Below are 15390 nucleotides of genomic sequence, written 5' to 3' on the forward strand. Positions count from 1 at the left end.
GTGCGATCTCAGCTCACTGCAACCTCCTCCTCCTAGGCTCAAGCAATTCTCCTGCCTCAGCCTCTCGAGTAGCTGGAATTACACCACCACACCCAGTTAATTTTTTTTTTTTTTTTTTCGAGATGGAGTCTCACTCTGTCTCTCCGGCTGGAGTGCAGTGGCGCGATCTCAGCTCACTGCAACCTCCACCCCTGGGGTTCAAGCAGTTCTCCTGCCTCAGCCTCCTGAGTAGCTGGGAGTACAGGTGCACCCAGCTAAATTTTGTATTTTAATAGAGATGGGGTTTCACTGTATTGCCCAGGCTGGTCTCGAACTCCTGAGTTCAGGCAGTCTGCCCACCTTGGCCTCCCAAAGTGCTAAGATTACAGGCGTGAGCCACCGTGCCTGGCCAGTTTCTATATTTTTAGTAGAGACAGGGTTTCACCAGGCTGGCCAGGCTGATCTTCAACTCTTGACCTCAAGTGATCTGCCCACCTCAGCCTCCCAAAGTGCTGGGATTACAGGCATGAGTACTGTGCCTGTTCTAATTTTTTTTTTTTTTTTGAGACGGAGTTTCATACTGTTGCCTGGGCTGGAGTGCAGTGGCACGATCTTGGCTCACTGGAACGATTCAAGCAATTCTCCTGCCTCAGCCTCCTGAGTAGCTGGGATTACAGGCAGCTGCTACCATGCCCGGCTAATTTTTTGTAGTTTTAGTAGAGATGGGGTTTCCCTATGTTGGCCAGGCTGGTCTCGAACTTTTGATCTCGTGATCTGCCCGCCTCAGCCTCCCAAAGTGCTGGGATTACAGGCTTGAGCCACCGTGCCTGGCCTAATTTTTTTTTTTTTTTTTTAATTTTTTGTAGTGATGGAGTCTCACTGTGTTTTCCAGGGTGGTCTCAAACTCCTGGCCTCAAGCAATCCTCTTGCCTCAGCCTCCCAAAGTGCTGGGATCACAGGGGTGAGCCACCATGCCCAGGTGAATTTTATTTCATCTCAATAAAACTCCAAATAAAATCTTAGGAACGATATATTAAGAGTTTGATAAAGGGAACTGCAAGTAATATCACAAATATTTCATTGTTTTTAAAATATACTATAGATTTCTATTTATAAAATTTATCTCAGCCAGGCATGGTGGCTCACGCCTGTAATCCCAGCATTTTGGGAGGCCGAGGCACGTGGATCATTTGAGACCAGGAGTTCAAGACCAGCCTGGCAAACATGGTGAAACCCCATCTCTACTAAAAATACAAAAATTAGTCTGGCATGGTGGCACACGCCTGTAATCCCAGCTACTTGGGAAGCTGAGGTAGGAGAATCACTTGAACCCAGGAGGCAGAGGTTGTAGTGAGCCAAGATCACGCCACTGCATTCTAGCCTGGGCGACAGAGTGATACTCTGTCTCAAAAAAAAAAGAAAAAAATTAAGTATCTTTAGTTGTGATTAATTATTTTTTTTTATGTTATAGTACAGGTTTTTTTCCTTAAAAATTAGATCTTTCTAACCTTTTCGTAACCAGGCATTATGATCTTTGAAAATTTTTATTTGCGTATCTTTAATTGTAATTTTGTCATCTCTTCTCATTTATTGTTTAGTCCAAAAGAAACTCTTCCTTCAAAACCTGTGAAGAAAGAGAAGGAACAGAGGACACGTCACTTACTCACAGACCTTCCTCTCCCTCCAGAGCTCCCTGGTGGAGATCTGTCTCCCCCAGACTCTCCAGAACCAAAGGCAATCACACCACCTCAGCAACCATATAAAAAGAGACCAAAGTGAGTTTTTGGAGGAATCTGTCTTTCATGATAGTTTTCTCCCTTCCTTTTGAACTAAATCTCTCATGTTTCTTCTATAACCCACACCAGTAAGATCGTAGAAGTTTGGTCCCAAAGTATTTTTTAATTTTATTTTAATGGACAAAAGCCTTTCTTGGAGACTCAGGTCATTCATCTATGCCCTCAGATACCCAGCTATGTTTTTAGAACAACAGAAAATTCCCAAATCCAGATATACTATGAATGTTTATCTCATTATGTCTTTTTTATTCATAATATTTAGAGTACTAAGGAAGAATAAAAGCTTTTTAAATTCAGGATGTGTCAATCGTGTACACATTAACCAAAAATTAATAGATATGGGATTTTTCTTCCTGAAAGCATATAAATTGTCATGCCATAAATTGAGTATAAATATGGGTCTAATCTTCTGATTGTTAGCATTTCTCTCTTAATAATAAAAATAGGTATCATTTATTGAGCACGTATTATTGTCGTAGTTTTATATATACACATTTTTGAGACAGAGTTGCGTTCTTTGTTGCCCAGGCTGGGGTGCAGTGATGCTATCTCTGCTTACCGCAACCTCGGCTTCCTGGTTCAAGCAACTCTCCTGCCTCAGCCTCCCGAGTAGCTGGGATTACAGGCACGTGCCACCACGCCAGGCTAATTTTTGTATTTTTAGTAGAGATGGGGTTTCACCATGTTGGCCAGGCTGGTCTCGAACTCTTGACCTCAGGTAATCCACCGCCTTGGCCTCCCAAAGTGCTGGGATTACAGGCGTGAGCCACCGCGTCCGGCCTTATATTTTCATAGCAGCCTTAGCATGTAGCGATTAATTTCCCATTTTATAGTTAAAGCCATACCTGAGAGAGTTCAGAAAGCAAGCAACTAATCTATTATTTCAGTGTATGTCTTCCTAAAGCTGTAGCCCTATGTCTTAGCCACTGTGAGAGACTGTTTATGTATTTTTTTTTTTTTTTTTTTGAGACAGAGTCTCCCTCTGTCACCCAGGCTGGAGGCACCTGCCACCATGCCTGGCTGTGTGTTTATATATTTCATATCATTTCATTTCTGACTTTTTAGTAAAAAATGTATAAAAGATACAGGAGTGGCTGGGCGCGGTGGCTCACGCTTGTAATCCCAGCACTTTGGGAGGCCAAGGCGGGTGGATCATGAGGTCAAGAGATCGAGACCATCTTGACCAACATGGTGAAACCACATCTCTACTGAAAATACAAAAATTAGCTGGGCGGGGTGGCGCCTGCCTGTAGAGTACTAAAAAAAAAAAAAAAAAAGATACAGGAGTTAGTGAAATCATCATAAAAGAATCCTTTTTTCTTTGACTCGATTTCATTTTCTTTTCTTTTTTTTTTTTTTTGAGTCGGAGTCTCGCTCTGCTGCCCAGGCTGGAGTGCAATGGCGTGACCTTGGCTCACTGCCACCTCTGCCTCCTGGGTTCAAGTGATTCTCCTGCCTCAGCCTCCTGAGTAGCTGGGACTACAGGCGCCTGCCACCACGCCCGGCTAATTTTTTGTATATTTAGTAGAGACGGGGTTTCACCGTGTTAGCCAGGATGGTCTCTATCTCCTGACCTCGTGATCCACCTGCCTCGGCCTCCCAAAGTGCTGGGATTACAGGCATGAGCCACCGAGCCCGGCCAATTTCATTTTCTTTTTTTTTTTTCTTTTTGAGAGGGTGTCTTGCTCTGTCGCCCAGGCTGGAGTGCAGTGGCGCATTCTTGGCTCACTGCAAGTTCTGCCTCCCAGGTTCACGCCATTCTCCTGCCTCAGCCTCCCGAGTAGCTGGGACTACAGGCGCCCGCTACCACGCCTGGCTAATTTTTGTATTTTTTTTAGTAAAGACGGGGTTTCACCATGTTAGCCAGGATAGTCTCGATCTCCTGACCTCGTGATCTGCCAGCCTCGGCCTCCCAAAGTGCTGGGATTACAGGCATGAGCCACCGCGCCCGGCCTTCATTTTCTTAAATAACTATTTTGTTGTTTTTACTTTTTAGAATTTGTTGTCCTCGTTATGGAGAAAGAAGACAAACAGAAAGCGACTGGGGGAAACGCTGTGTGGACAAGTTTGACATTATTGGGATTATTGGAGAAGGAACCTATGGCCAAGTATATAAAGCCAAGGACAAAGACACAGGTAAATATTGCCACAAAATTTTAGATGTCAGAATGTTAACAATTTAGCAATACTAATATCTTAAGTGGATTTAGCAAAAGTAAATTCTGAGGTGTTTTGTTTGTTTGTTTGTTTGTTTGTTTTTTGAGATGGAGTCTTGCTCCCCAGGCTGGAGTGCAGTGGTGCAGTCTCAACTCACTGCAAGCTCCGCCTCCTGGGTTCACACCATTCTCCTGCCTCAGCCTCCCGAGTAACTGGGATTACAGACCGTGCGCAACCACACTCGACTAATTTTTGTTTTTTTTTTTTTTTTAGTAGAAACAGGGTTCCACTATGTCGTCCAGGCTGGTCTTGAACTCCTGACCTCAAGCAATCTGCCCACCTCGGCCTCCCAAAGTGCTGGGATTATAGATGTGAGCCACGGCGCCAGGCCTTTTTTTATTTTTATTTTTTGAGACGGGGTCTTGCGCTGTCATCCAGTCTGGAGTGCAGTGAGTGGATCAATCTCTGCTCACTGCAGGCTCTGCCTCCTGGGTTCAAGCGATGCCTCTGCATCAGCCTCCCGAGTAGCTGGGGTTACAGGCATGCACCACCACACCCAGCTAATTTCTGTATTTTTAGTAGAGATGGGGTTTTACCATGTTGGCCAGGCAGTCTTGAATTCCAGGCTGGTCTTGAACTCCTAACCTGAAATAGCCACCCACCTCAGCCTCCCAAAGTGCTGGGATTACAGGCATGAGCCACCACGCCTGGCCAAATTTTTAGTTCTAGTTTTGTCTCCAAAAGTTATTGAGTAGATCAAAGGTTTCCAAAAGAATACTATAATTATAACTTTTAAAACTCTCCAGCTGGGTGTGGTGAGTCATGCCTGTAATTTCAGCACTTTGGGAGGCCAGGTGGGCAGATCACGAGGTCAGGAGATTGAGACCATCCTGGCTAACATGGTGAAACCCCGTTTCTACTAAAAATAGAAAAAATTAGCCAGGCGTGGTGCCACACGCCTGTAGTCCCAGCTACTCAGGAGGCGGAGGCAGGAGAATCACTTGAACCTAGTAGGCGGAGGTTGCAATGAGCGGAGATCGCGCCAGTGCCCTGCAGCCTGGGTGACAGAGCAAGACTCCATCTCAAAAACAAAAAATTCAAGTCTTAAGAAAAAAATTAAAGCCAGGAAAGGGAATATAAAATTTCCTTTTTTGTTTTTTTATTGAGAAGGAGTCTCACTCTGTCACCCAGGGTGGAGTGCAATGATGCGATCTCAGCTCACTGCAACCTCTGCTCACCGCAACCTCTGCCTCCCGGGTTCAAGCAATTCTCCTGTCTCAGCCTCCTGAGTAGCTGGGATTACAGGCATCCACCACCACGCCCAGCTAATTTTTGTATTTTAATAGAGACGGGGTTTCACCACGTTGGCTAGGCTGGTCTCGAATTCCTAACCTCAGGTGATCCGCAGGCCTTGGCCTCCCAAAGTGTTGGGATTACAGGTGTGAGCCAGTGCGCCTGGCCTAGAGTTTACTTTTTAAAGGTGTATAAGTATCTCGTGTAAGCATTAAAGTAAGCACTAAGTTTGTCTTCCAGAGCAAGGGCATATATTGCTGGTTCACAATAGTGGCCAAAAATGCTCATTGATAATAACAGTTTACATTTGTTTTGGCAGGAGAACTAGTGGCTCTGAAGAAGGTGAGACTAGACAATGAGAAAGAGGGCTTCCCAATCACAGCCATTCGTGAAATCAAAATCCTTCGTCAGTTAATCCACCGAAGTGTTGTTAACATGAAGGAAATTGTCACAGATAAACAAGATGCACTGGATTTCAAGAAGGACAAAGGTACTAGCAAAGAATCACATTTTTACAGGGTAGACTGGTCCAATCTTTGCCTTTCTTTTTTTTTTTCTTTCTTTCTTTCTTTTTTTTTTTTTTGAGACGGAGTCTTGCTCTGTTGCCCAGGCTGAACTGCAGTGGTGCGATTTCAGGTCACTGCAAGCTCCACCTCCTGGGTTCACGCCATTCTCCTGCCTCAGTGTCCTGAGCAGCTGGGACTACAGGCGCCCGCCACCACACCCAGCTAATTTTTTGTATTTTTTTAGTAGAGGCGGGGTTTCACCGTGTTAGCCAGGATGGTCTCGATCTCCTGACCTCGTGATCCGCCCGCCTGGGCCTCCCAAAGTTCTGGGATTACAGGCATGAGCCACCGCGCCTGGCCCTTTCTTTCTTATTTATCTATTTATTTTGAGACAGTCTCGCACTGTCGCCCAGGCTGGATTGCAGTCCTGTGATGTCGGCTCACTGCAGCCTCTGCCTCTCGGGTTTAAGTGATTCTCGTGCCTCAGCCCCCAAGTAGCTGGGATTTCAGGCATGCGCCATCATTCCGGGCTTATTTTTGTATATTTAGTGGAGAGGAGGTTTCGCTATGTTCGTCGAGCTGGTCTCACACTCCTGACCTCAAGTCATCCGCCCGCCTCGGCCCCTCGAAGTGCTGGGATTATAGGAGTGAGCTACCATGACTGGCCTCATGTGTTTTTTTTTTTTTTTTTTTTTTTTTTTTTTTTATAAAATAATAAGTGAATGAATGGATATGATGCATGTATGCCTTTGGTGGAAAAACTGAAAATATAGAAGAAGAAGAAAAAGAAGATGGTAGTGGCCAGGCGCAGTGGCTCACGCCTGTAATCCTGGCACTTTGGGAGGCCGAGGTGGGCAGATCACAAGGTCAGGAGATCAAGACCATCCTGGCTAACACGGCAAAACCCTGACTCTACTAAAAAAATACAAAAAAAATTAGCCGGACATGGTGGCAGGCGCCTGTAGTCCCAGCTACTCAGGAGGCTGAGGCAGGAGAATGGTGTGAACCTGGGAGGCGGAGCTTGCGGTGAGCCAAGATCGTGCCACTGCACTCCAGCCTGGGCAATAGAGCGAGACTCCGCCTCAAAAAAAAAAAAAAAAGATGGTAGTAATTTATCTCCCACTTCCTCCCAATATACTACCATCCATGGAAAACCACTGAAGTATTAATACATTTCGGTATATTTGCTTTTAGTTCTTTTTGTTTTTGTTTTTTTTTTGAGACAGAGTCTTACTCTCTCACCCAGGCTGGAGTGCATTGGCTCGATCTTGGCTTACTGCAACCTCCACCTCCCAGGTTCAAGCAATTCTCCTGCCTCAGCCTCCCGGGTAGCTGGGATTACAGGCATGTGCCACCACTCCCGGCTAATTTTTATAATTTTAATAGAGACCGGGTTTCACCATGTTGGCCAGGCTGGTTTCGAACTCCTGACCTCAGGCAGTCATCCACCTCAGCCTGCCAAAGAGCAGGGATGACAAGGGTGAGCCACCACACTCAGCCCTGCTTTTAGTACTTTATGCCATATCTACTGTATTTATTTTAACAAAGCTGAGATTAAAGGTTATTTCGTGTTGTATAACTTGTCATAAGCAATTTCTCATATCATTAACAAATTTTAATGTTTATGCGTAAACATAGGTGAATCCAAATTTACCAGTCCCTGTTGAGCAATTAGTTGCCAATTTTCAGTTTAAAAAAAAAATAATAGGCCAGGTGCAGTGGCTCACCCCTGTAATCTCAGCACTTTGGGAGGCCGAGTCAGGTTGATCACCTGAGGTCGGGAGTTTGAGATCAGCCTGGCCAAGATGGTGAAACCCTATCTCTACTAAAAATACAATAATTAGCTGGGCATGGTGGCTAGCGCCTGTAATCTTCAGCTACTTGGGAGGCTGAGGCAGGAGAATGACTTGAACCTGGTAGGCAGAGGTTGCAGTGAGTTGAGATCACGCCATTGCACTCCAGCCTGGGTGACAAGAGCAAAACTCTGTCTCAAAAAAAAATCCCAAAAAACATAATAACAATGCCTTGAGTATCTTTCTGCATAAATCTTTGCATTATGATTTATTTTCATTGTATAGCATTTTTGATACAGAGTTATTTGGTCAAATGGATTTTCATATTTAATGTCAGATTCCTTTTAAGAAAATTAGTATGTCCAGTGGGTGTCCATCTCAGTGTATCCTCCCCAACATTCAGTATATCTTTTTTTTTTTTTTTTTTTTTTTTTTTTTTAATTTTGAGAAGGAGTCTCACTCTGTCGCCCAGGCTCGAGTGCAGTGATGCAATCTTGGCTCACTGCAACCTCCGCCTCCTGGGTTCAAGTGATTCTCCTGCCTCAGCCTTTGGAGTAGCTGGGCTTAAACAGGCGCACGCCACCACGGCCGGCTAATTTTTGTATCTTTATCAGAGACAGGGTTTCGCCATTTGGCCGGGCTGGTCTCAAACTTCTGTCCCCAGCTGATCCGCCCACCTCGGCCTCCCAAAGTGCTGGAATTACAAGTGTGAGCCACTGTACCCGGCCAAGTATATCTTTTTAAAAAATTGTCATCTGGGCTAGGTGTGGTTGCTTATGCCTATAATCCCAGCATTTTGGGAGGCCAAGGCAGGCAGATCACTTGAAGTCAGGAGTTTGAGCCAAGCCTGGCCAACATGGTGAAACCCCTCTCTACTAAAAATGCGAAAATTCGCTGGGCATGGTGCTGGGCACTTTTAATCCTGGCTACTGGGAAGGCTGAGGCAGGAGAATTGTTTGAACCCGGGAGGTAGAGATTGCAGTGAGCCGAGATTGAGTTACTGCACTTTAGCCTGGGCAACAGAGCAAGACTCTGTCTCAAAAAAAAAAAAAATTGTCATCTGGATAGGTTAAGTATGATATTATTATTTTATATATTATTTTAATTTAATTTTTATTTTTTGAGACAGTCTCAGTGTGTTGCCCAGGCTGGAGTACAACGGTGGTCATAGCTCATTACATCCTCAACCTCCAGGCTCAAGCAATCCTCCATGCCTCATCCTCCTGATTAGCTGGGGCAACAGGCATGCACCACCACATCCAGCTGATTTTTTAAATTTTTAGTAGAAACAGGATCTCTCTATGTTGCACAGGCTGGTCTCTAACTCCTGGGCTCAAGCAGTCCTCTTGCCTTGGCCTCCTAAAGTGCTGGGATTACGAACTTGGGCCACCGCACCCAGCGAATGTCATTTTGGATTATATTCCTTATATTTTGGGTCTTCTCTATGTTACCAGTTTTATTTACTTTCTCTCCCTCTCTCTTTCTCTCTCTCTTTCTCTCTTTCTTTCTTTTTTTTTTGGGACAGAGTCTTGCTCTCTCACCGAGGCTGGAGTGCAGTGACATGATCACAGCTCACTGTAACTGAACTCCTGGGTTCAAGGGATCCCCCTGACTCAGCCTCCCAAGTAGCTAGGACTAGACACCACTCCTGGCTGGTTTTTAAAAATTTTGGTAGAAACAGGATTTTGCTATGTTGCCCAGCCTGGTCTTTTTGTTTTGTTTTATTTTGTTTTTTTTTTGAGACGGCGTCTCACTCAGTTGCCCAGGCTGGAGTGCAGTGGTGTGATCTCGACTCACTGCAGCTTCCACCTCCTGGGTTCAAGCAGTTCTCCTGCCTCAACCTCCCAAGTAGCTGGGATTACAAGTGTGTGCCACAATGCCCAGCTGTTTTGTGTTTTTAGTAGAGATGGGGTTTCACCATGTGGGCCAGGCTGGTTTCAAACTCCTGACCTCAAGTGATCCACCCGCCTCGGCCTCCCAAAGTGCTGGGATTACAGGCGTGAGCCGCCGCGCCCGGCCATCCTTCTCTTTTTGAAATTTTTTGTAGACAGAATCTTGCTTTCTCACCCAGGCTAGAGTACATTGGTGCAATCACAGCTTATTGTAGCCTCAAACTCCTGGGCTCAAATGATTCTCTTGCCTCAGCCTCCCAAGTAGCCAGGAATACAGGCAAGCACCATCATGCCTAGCTAATTTATAAATTTTTTTGTGGAGATGGTGTCTCACTATTTTGCCCAGTCTGGTTTCCAAAGCTCAGGCAATCCTCTCACCTCAGCCCCTCACAATGTGGGGATTACAGGCATGAGCCACTGAACACAGCCCTAAATTTGTTGATTCATTTTTCTCTCAATTTTTAATACTATGATTTTCTCTTTCTTTCTTTCTTTCTTTCTTTCTTTCTTTCTTTCTTTCTTTCTTTCTTTCTTTCTTTCTTTCTTTCTTTCTTTCTTTCTTTCTTTCTTTCTTTCTTTCTTTCTTTCTTTCTTTCTTTCTTTCTTTCTTTCTTTCTTTCTTTCTTTCTTTCTTTCTTTCTTTCTTTCTTTCTTTCTTTCTTTCTTTCTTTCTTTCTTTCTTTCTTTCTTTCTTTCTTTCTTTCTTTCTTTCTTTCTTTCTTTCTTTCTTTCTTTCTTTCTTTCTTTCTTTCTTTCTTTCTTTCTTTCTTTCTTTCTTTCTTTCTTTCTTTCTTTCTTTCTTTCTTTCTTTCCTTTTTTTTTTTTTTTTGAGACAGAGTCTTGCTCTTTTTGCCCAGGCTGGAGTGCAGTGCCGCTGTCTTGGCTCACTGCAACCTCCGCCTCCTGGGTTCAAGCGATTGTCATGCCTCAGCCTCCCTGAGTAGCTGGAATTACAGGTGCACGCCACCACGTCCAGGTAATTTTTGTATTTTTAGCAGAGTTAGGGTTTCACCATGTTGGGCAGGCTTGTCTCGAACTCCTGACCTCAAGTGATCTGCCCGCCTTGGCCTCCCAAAGTGCTGGGATTACAGGCATGAACTACCGCGCCCAGCCTCTTTTTTTTTTTTTCTCAAGATGGGGTTTTGCTCTTGTTGCCCAGGCTGAAGTGCGATGGTGCAGTCTCAGCTCACTGCGACCTCTGCCTGCTGGGTTCAAGCGATTCTCCTGCCTCAGCCTCCCGTGTAGCTGGAATTATAGGCGCCTGCTATCATGCCTGGCTAATTTTTGTATTTTTTTTTAGTAGAGATGGGGTTTCACCATGTTGGCCAGGTTGGTCTCGAACTCCTGACCTCAGGCAATCCTTCTGCCTTGGCCTCCCAAAGTGCTGGAATTACAGGCATGAGCCACCATGCCTGACCAGTACTATGAATTTCACTAATAATTTATAACACATTTATTATGATGTCCCTGGCGTATTGAGTCCCATTAACTTGTATAAAAACCTTTACAAAATAGTCGTCAATTTTATGTAACAAATGGGCATGGTTGTGTTACAAATACAACTTCATTTACAGCAACAAGCAGCAGGCTGGATCTGGTCTAAGCTCTGTAATTTGCTAACTGACTTAGGTCATTAAAGTCTAGTAAGACAGGCTGAGCACAGTGGCTTATGCCTCTGACCTCAGCATTTTGGGATGTTGGGGTGGAAGGATTGCCTGAGCCAAAGAGTTAAGAGACCAGCCTGGGTACCATAGCAAGACCCTGTCTCTACAAAAAATGAAAAACATTAACTGGGTGTGGTGGCCTGTGCCTGTATTCCCAGCTACATGAGAGGCTGAGGCGGAAGATTCGCTTGAGCCCAGGAGTTTGAGGCTGTAGTGAGCCATGATCATGCCACTGCACTCCATCCTGGGCAACAGAATGAGACGCTGTCTCAAAAAAAAAAAGAAGAAAAAGGCTGGGCGCGGTGGCTGACGCCTGTAATCCCAACACTTTGGGAAGCTAAGGCAGGCGGATCACCTGAGGTCAGGAGTTTGAGACCAGCCTGACCAACATGGTGAAATCTCGTCTCTACTCAAAATACAAAAATTAGCCGGGTGTGGTGGCACATGCCTGTAATCCCAGCTACTTGGGAAGCTGAGGCAGGAGAATGGCTTGAACCCAGGAGGCGGAGGTTGCAGTGAGCCAAGATAGTGCCACTGCACTCCAGTCTGGGTGGCAGAGTGAGAGTCTGTCTTTAAAAAAAAGCCTAGTAATGCAACCTGGTCAGGGCACCTGCCCCCATGAAGAGGTGAGTAGTCCATATAGTACTAGACTAGGAATTGAAAGATTAATTCCTTTTTTTTTTTTGAGAAGGAGTCTTGCTTTGTTGCCCAGGCTGGAATGCAGTGGCACCATCTCAGCTCACTGCAGCCTCCAGCTCCTGGGTTCAAGTGATTCTCCCACCTCGGCCTCCCAAGTAGCTGGGATTACAGGCACGTGCCACCATGCCCAGCTAATTTTTGTATTTTTTTTTTAGTCAAGATGAGGTTTCATTCACCATGTTGGACAGGTTGGTCTCGAACTCCTGACCTCAAGTGACCCGCCCTCCTCGGCCTCCCAAAGTGCTGGGGTTACAGGCATCAGCCACTGCGCCCAGCCACAGAAGATTAATTCAAATATTAGCTCCGTTGTTTATTATTAGGAAGGACTAATTATTCAACTACTCTTCGTTTCAGTTTCTTCATCTGTAAAATTCAAGGGTTTTTTCTAGAGAACCTGTGGTCAACTCCAAAATTATATTAGGACTTGAGGCATTGTTATTTCAGCATTCTTTTTTTTTTCTTGCTTTTAATTTTTTTTCGTCTTTATGTAGGTGCCTTTTACCTTGTATTTGAGTATATGGACCATGACTTAATGGGACTGCTAGAATCTGGTTTGGTGCACTTTTCTGAGGACCATATCAAGTCGTTCATGAAACAGCTAATGGAAGGATTGGAATACTGTCACAAAAAGAATTTCCTGCATCGGGATATTAAGTGTTCTAACATTTTGCTGAATAACAGGTAACATAGTAACCAAATAAGATTAAGCACTTTCCTCTTCTCCTCTGACCTTTTTAGTTTCAAATGGTTAATTGGTATTATAATTAGACCTAATAGTGCAGTATTCACACACTATTTAGTGATATTTCCTACGTTCAGTGTGGGAGAAACATACCTGCTCCTTTAGCTGTTCTTGAGCCTTTTCTCAGTTACCAGCTTTCTGAGTAAACATTGATGTGCAGTTGGTGATTGGCCTTTTCTGCCTAGTACTTACTCCTAGGTTTTAATAGCGTAAACAAACAGGAATCTGGTTATGAACAGGTGTTAATTCATCAGAAGTTTTTATCATTTGCTTTCTTCTTTTCTGTTTATTTGCCTATACTGCATTGGTAATATCAGATGTATTATGCACACTAGGTTTTTTGTTTTGTTTTTTTTTTTTGAAGATGGAATTTCGCTCTTCTTGCCCAGGCTGGAGTGCAGTGGCGTGATCTCGTCTCACTGCAACCTCCACCTCCCAGGTTCAAGCGATTCTCCTGCCTCAGTGTCCCAAGTAGCTGGGATTATAGGCGCCCGGCACCATGCTCTGCTAATTTTTGTATTTTCAGTAGAGATGGGGTTTCACTATATTGGCCAGGCTGATCTTGAACTCCTGACCTCGTGATCCACCCACCTCAGCCTCCCAAACTGCTGGGATTACAGGCATGAGCCACCGCACCTGGCATACTAGTTTGTTTGTTTGTTTGTTTTTTGAAACGGAGTCTTGCTCTGTCGCCCAGGCTGGAGTGCAGTGGCGCGATCTCACCTTACTGCAAGCTCTGCCTCCCAGGTTCGTGCCATTCTCCTGCCTCAGCTTCCCGAATAGCTGGGACTACAGGCGCCCGCCACCACGCCCAGCTAATTTTTTTGTATTTTTAGTAGAGACGTGGTTTCACCATGTTAGCCAGGATGGTCTCTATCTCCTGACCTCGTGATCCGCCCACCTCGGCCTCCCAAAGTGCTGGGATTACAGGCGTGAGCCACCACGCCTGGCCGGTTCAGTTTTATCTAACAGACATTATCTATATAGGAACATGGAAAGATTATGACACATTTCCCCTCTTTATGGTGTAGAATAACCAATCTTGCATGGTTACCTGGGACTGTCCTGGTTTTAGCAGTAAAAGGCTCACATGCGACGATTGAACACTGGAACTCAAAACTTTTGCAGGAGAAATAAATAAATTACTCAATTCAGTAAACATTTATTAAGGTCAATTTTTTTTCACTTTGAATTTGAGAGTATCTGGAAAGGTGTAACCTTGAGGGATGAATAAGAATTTATCTGAAAAACTGACAGTGGGTGGGTGATCAAATTTCTAGGCAGAAGCAGCTGCATGCACAAAAGTACATAAACATGAAAATAACATGTTATGTCTGGAAAACTGTAAACAGGTCAGTATTTCTAGAGCAAGAAGAGGGAAGCACATAATGGCCAAGAGATGAAGCTGGATAGTTACATAGAGCCCACTTATGGATCTTGCATGCCCCACTGAGGAACTTAAACTTTATCTGTATTTGACAGGGATCAGCATCACTTGAACCCAGGAGGTAGAGGTTACAGTGAGCCGAGATCAATCCACTACACTCCAGTCCAGGTGACAGAGCAAGACTCCATCTCAAAAAAAGAAATAATCTTAGACTGAGTCTCACTCTGTCGCCCAGGCTGGAGTGCAATGGCAGGATTTCACTGCAACCTCCAACTCCTGGGTTCAAGCGATGCTCCTGCCTCAGCCTCCCAAGTAGCTGGGATTACAGGTGCCCACCACCACGCCCAGCTAATTTTTCTATTTTTAGTAGAGACGGGATTTCACCATATTGACCAGGCTGGTCTCGAACTCCTGACCTCAAGTGATCTGCCCCACTTGGCCTCCCAAAGTCCTGGTATTACAAGCGTGAGCCACTGCGCCCGGCCAAAAGAGTATTTCTTTATGTTGCTTTCTCTGACTCATAATTCCCAGTAAAGTTGGAAGTGGGTGACTCTACATCTATAGTAAATAATGCATTAAGAACTTAATAGCTATTAGCTTGCAACTTTCTGGCCTATAGTATAATATACTTTCTGCTGTTCCCTTTACTCCTCCATGAGGAGATGTCTCAAAGCAGGGAATAATTGCAGCTCCGTTTGGTGTCCTCTCTGGTGGGTAAGGCCTCTTTTGGTTCCTGACCTTCCAGAGTCAGAAAGCTGATGAGGTTCCAGACTAAATTGAATTTCCTCCTCAGGTTGCTAAGCAGGATACAGGAATCCTGTGGTCTAGCCTGATCCATCCAGCCTCTTCCCTTACCCATTTAGCTCTGTCTACTCAGACCTGTGGGTGAGATGGCCTGGAGAAAATGGTGAAGGGTCGTCAGCTGGGCAAGGAAGAGAGCGAACAGGTGGCAAGAGAGAGAGAAGAGCAGAGTTGGATTCCAAATGAGACCAAATCATTTTATATAGAAGAGAGACACAGTCAATCTTCTGTTTTGGAAAGGTCACCAAATTATCAGTTTATGCCGATAAACTGGAGGCAGAGAGACCCTCTAAGAACTTCGTAATAAATGGTCAGTGCTGGAAATAACCCAGACACCACTAGTAGGGATGGACTCGGTAGATCTGTAGACTTTGGTTGAGTGAGTGTATGGTAGATAATGAATTAGAGAAAGTAAGATAACTCACAGGTTTCTGACTTGAAAAACTAGCTAGATGGGTGGCACTACTAGTCAATACAAGGAAGATGGAAGAGTAGGATGGATGGAGTAACAGGCAAATCTCTTTTGAATATGTCTTTTATATATCCAGGGTAGTGATATTTAATAGCATATGGTCATTTGGGAATTCCAAACTACCAATACAGAGTTGGTAGTTACAGAACATAGAAAAGATGTCAGAAATGTAACCCAAGAGAGATGGTCAGAGAGATAGGAAGAAAATA

General features: G+C 44.6%; 1 protein-coding gene across 50 annotated transcripts in view; it reads left to right on the top strand.

Annotated features, from left to right (window-relative positions):
- The window catches only part of CDK12 (cyclin dependent kinase 12), a 106074-nt gene that overhangs the window by 27494 nt on the left and 63190 nt on the right, over positions 1–15390 (top strand). For all 50 annotated transcript variants that reach the window (XM_047436256.1, XM_047436261.1, XM_047436260.1 and 47 more), the window contains exons 3-6: positions 1578–1754; positions 3772–3911; positions 5545–5715; positions 12271–12460. In XM_047436256.1, the coding sequence (XP_047292212.1) occupies positions 1578–1754; positions 3772–3911; positions 5545–5715; positions 12271–12460 (678 nt within the window). The remainder of the gene's footprint in view (positions 1–1577; positions 1755–3771; positions 3912–5544; positions 5716–12270; positions 12461–15390) is intronic.

This window comes from Homo sapiens, chromosome 17 (assembly GCF_000001405.40).
Source record: "Homo sapiens chromosome 17, GRCh38.p14 Primary Assembly".
Classification (NCBI taxonomy): domain Eukaryota; kingdom Metazoa; phylum Chordata; class Mammalia; order Primates; family Hominidae; genus Homo; species Homo sapiens.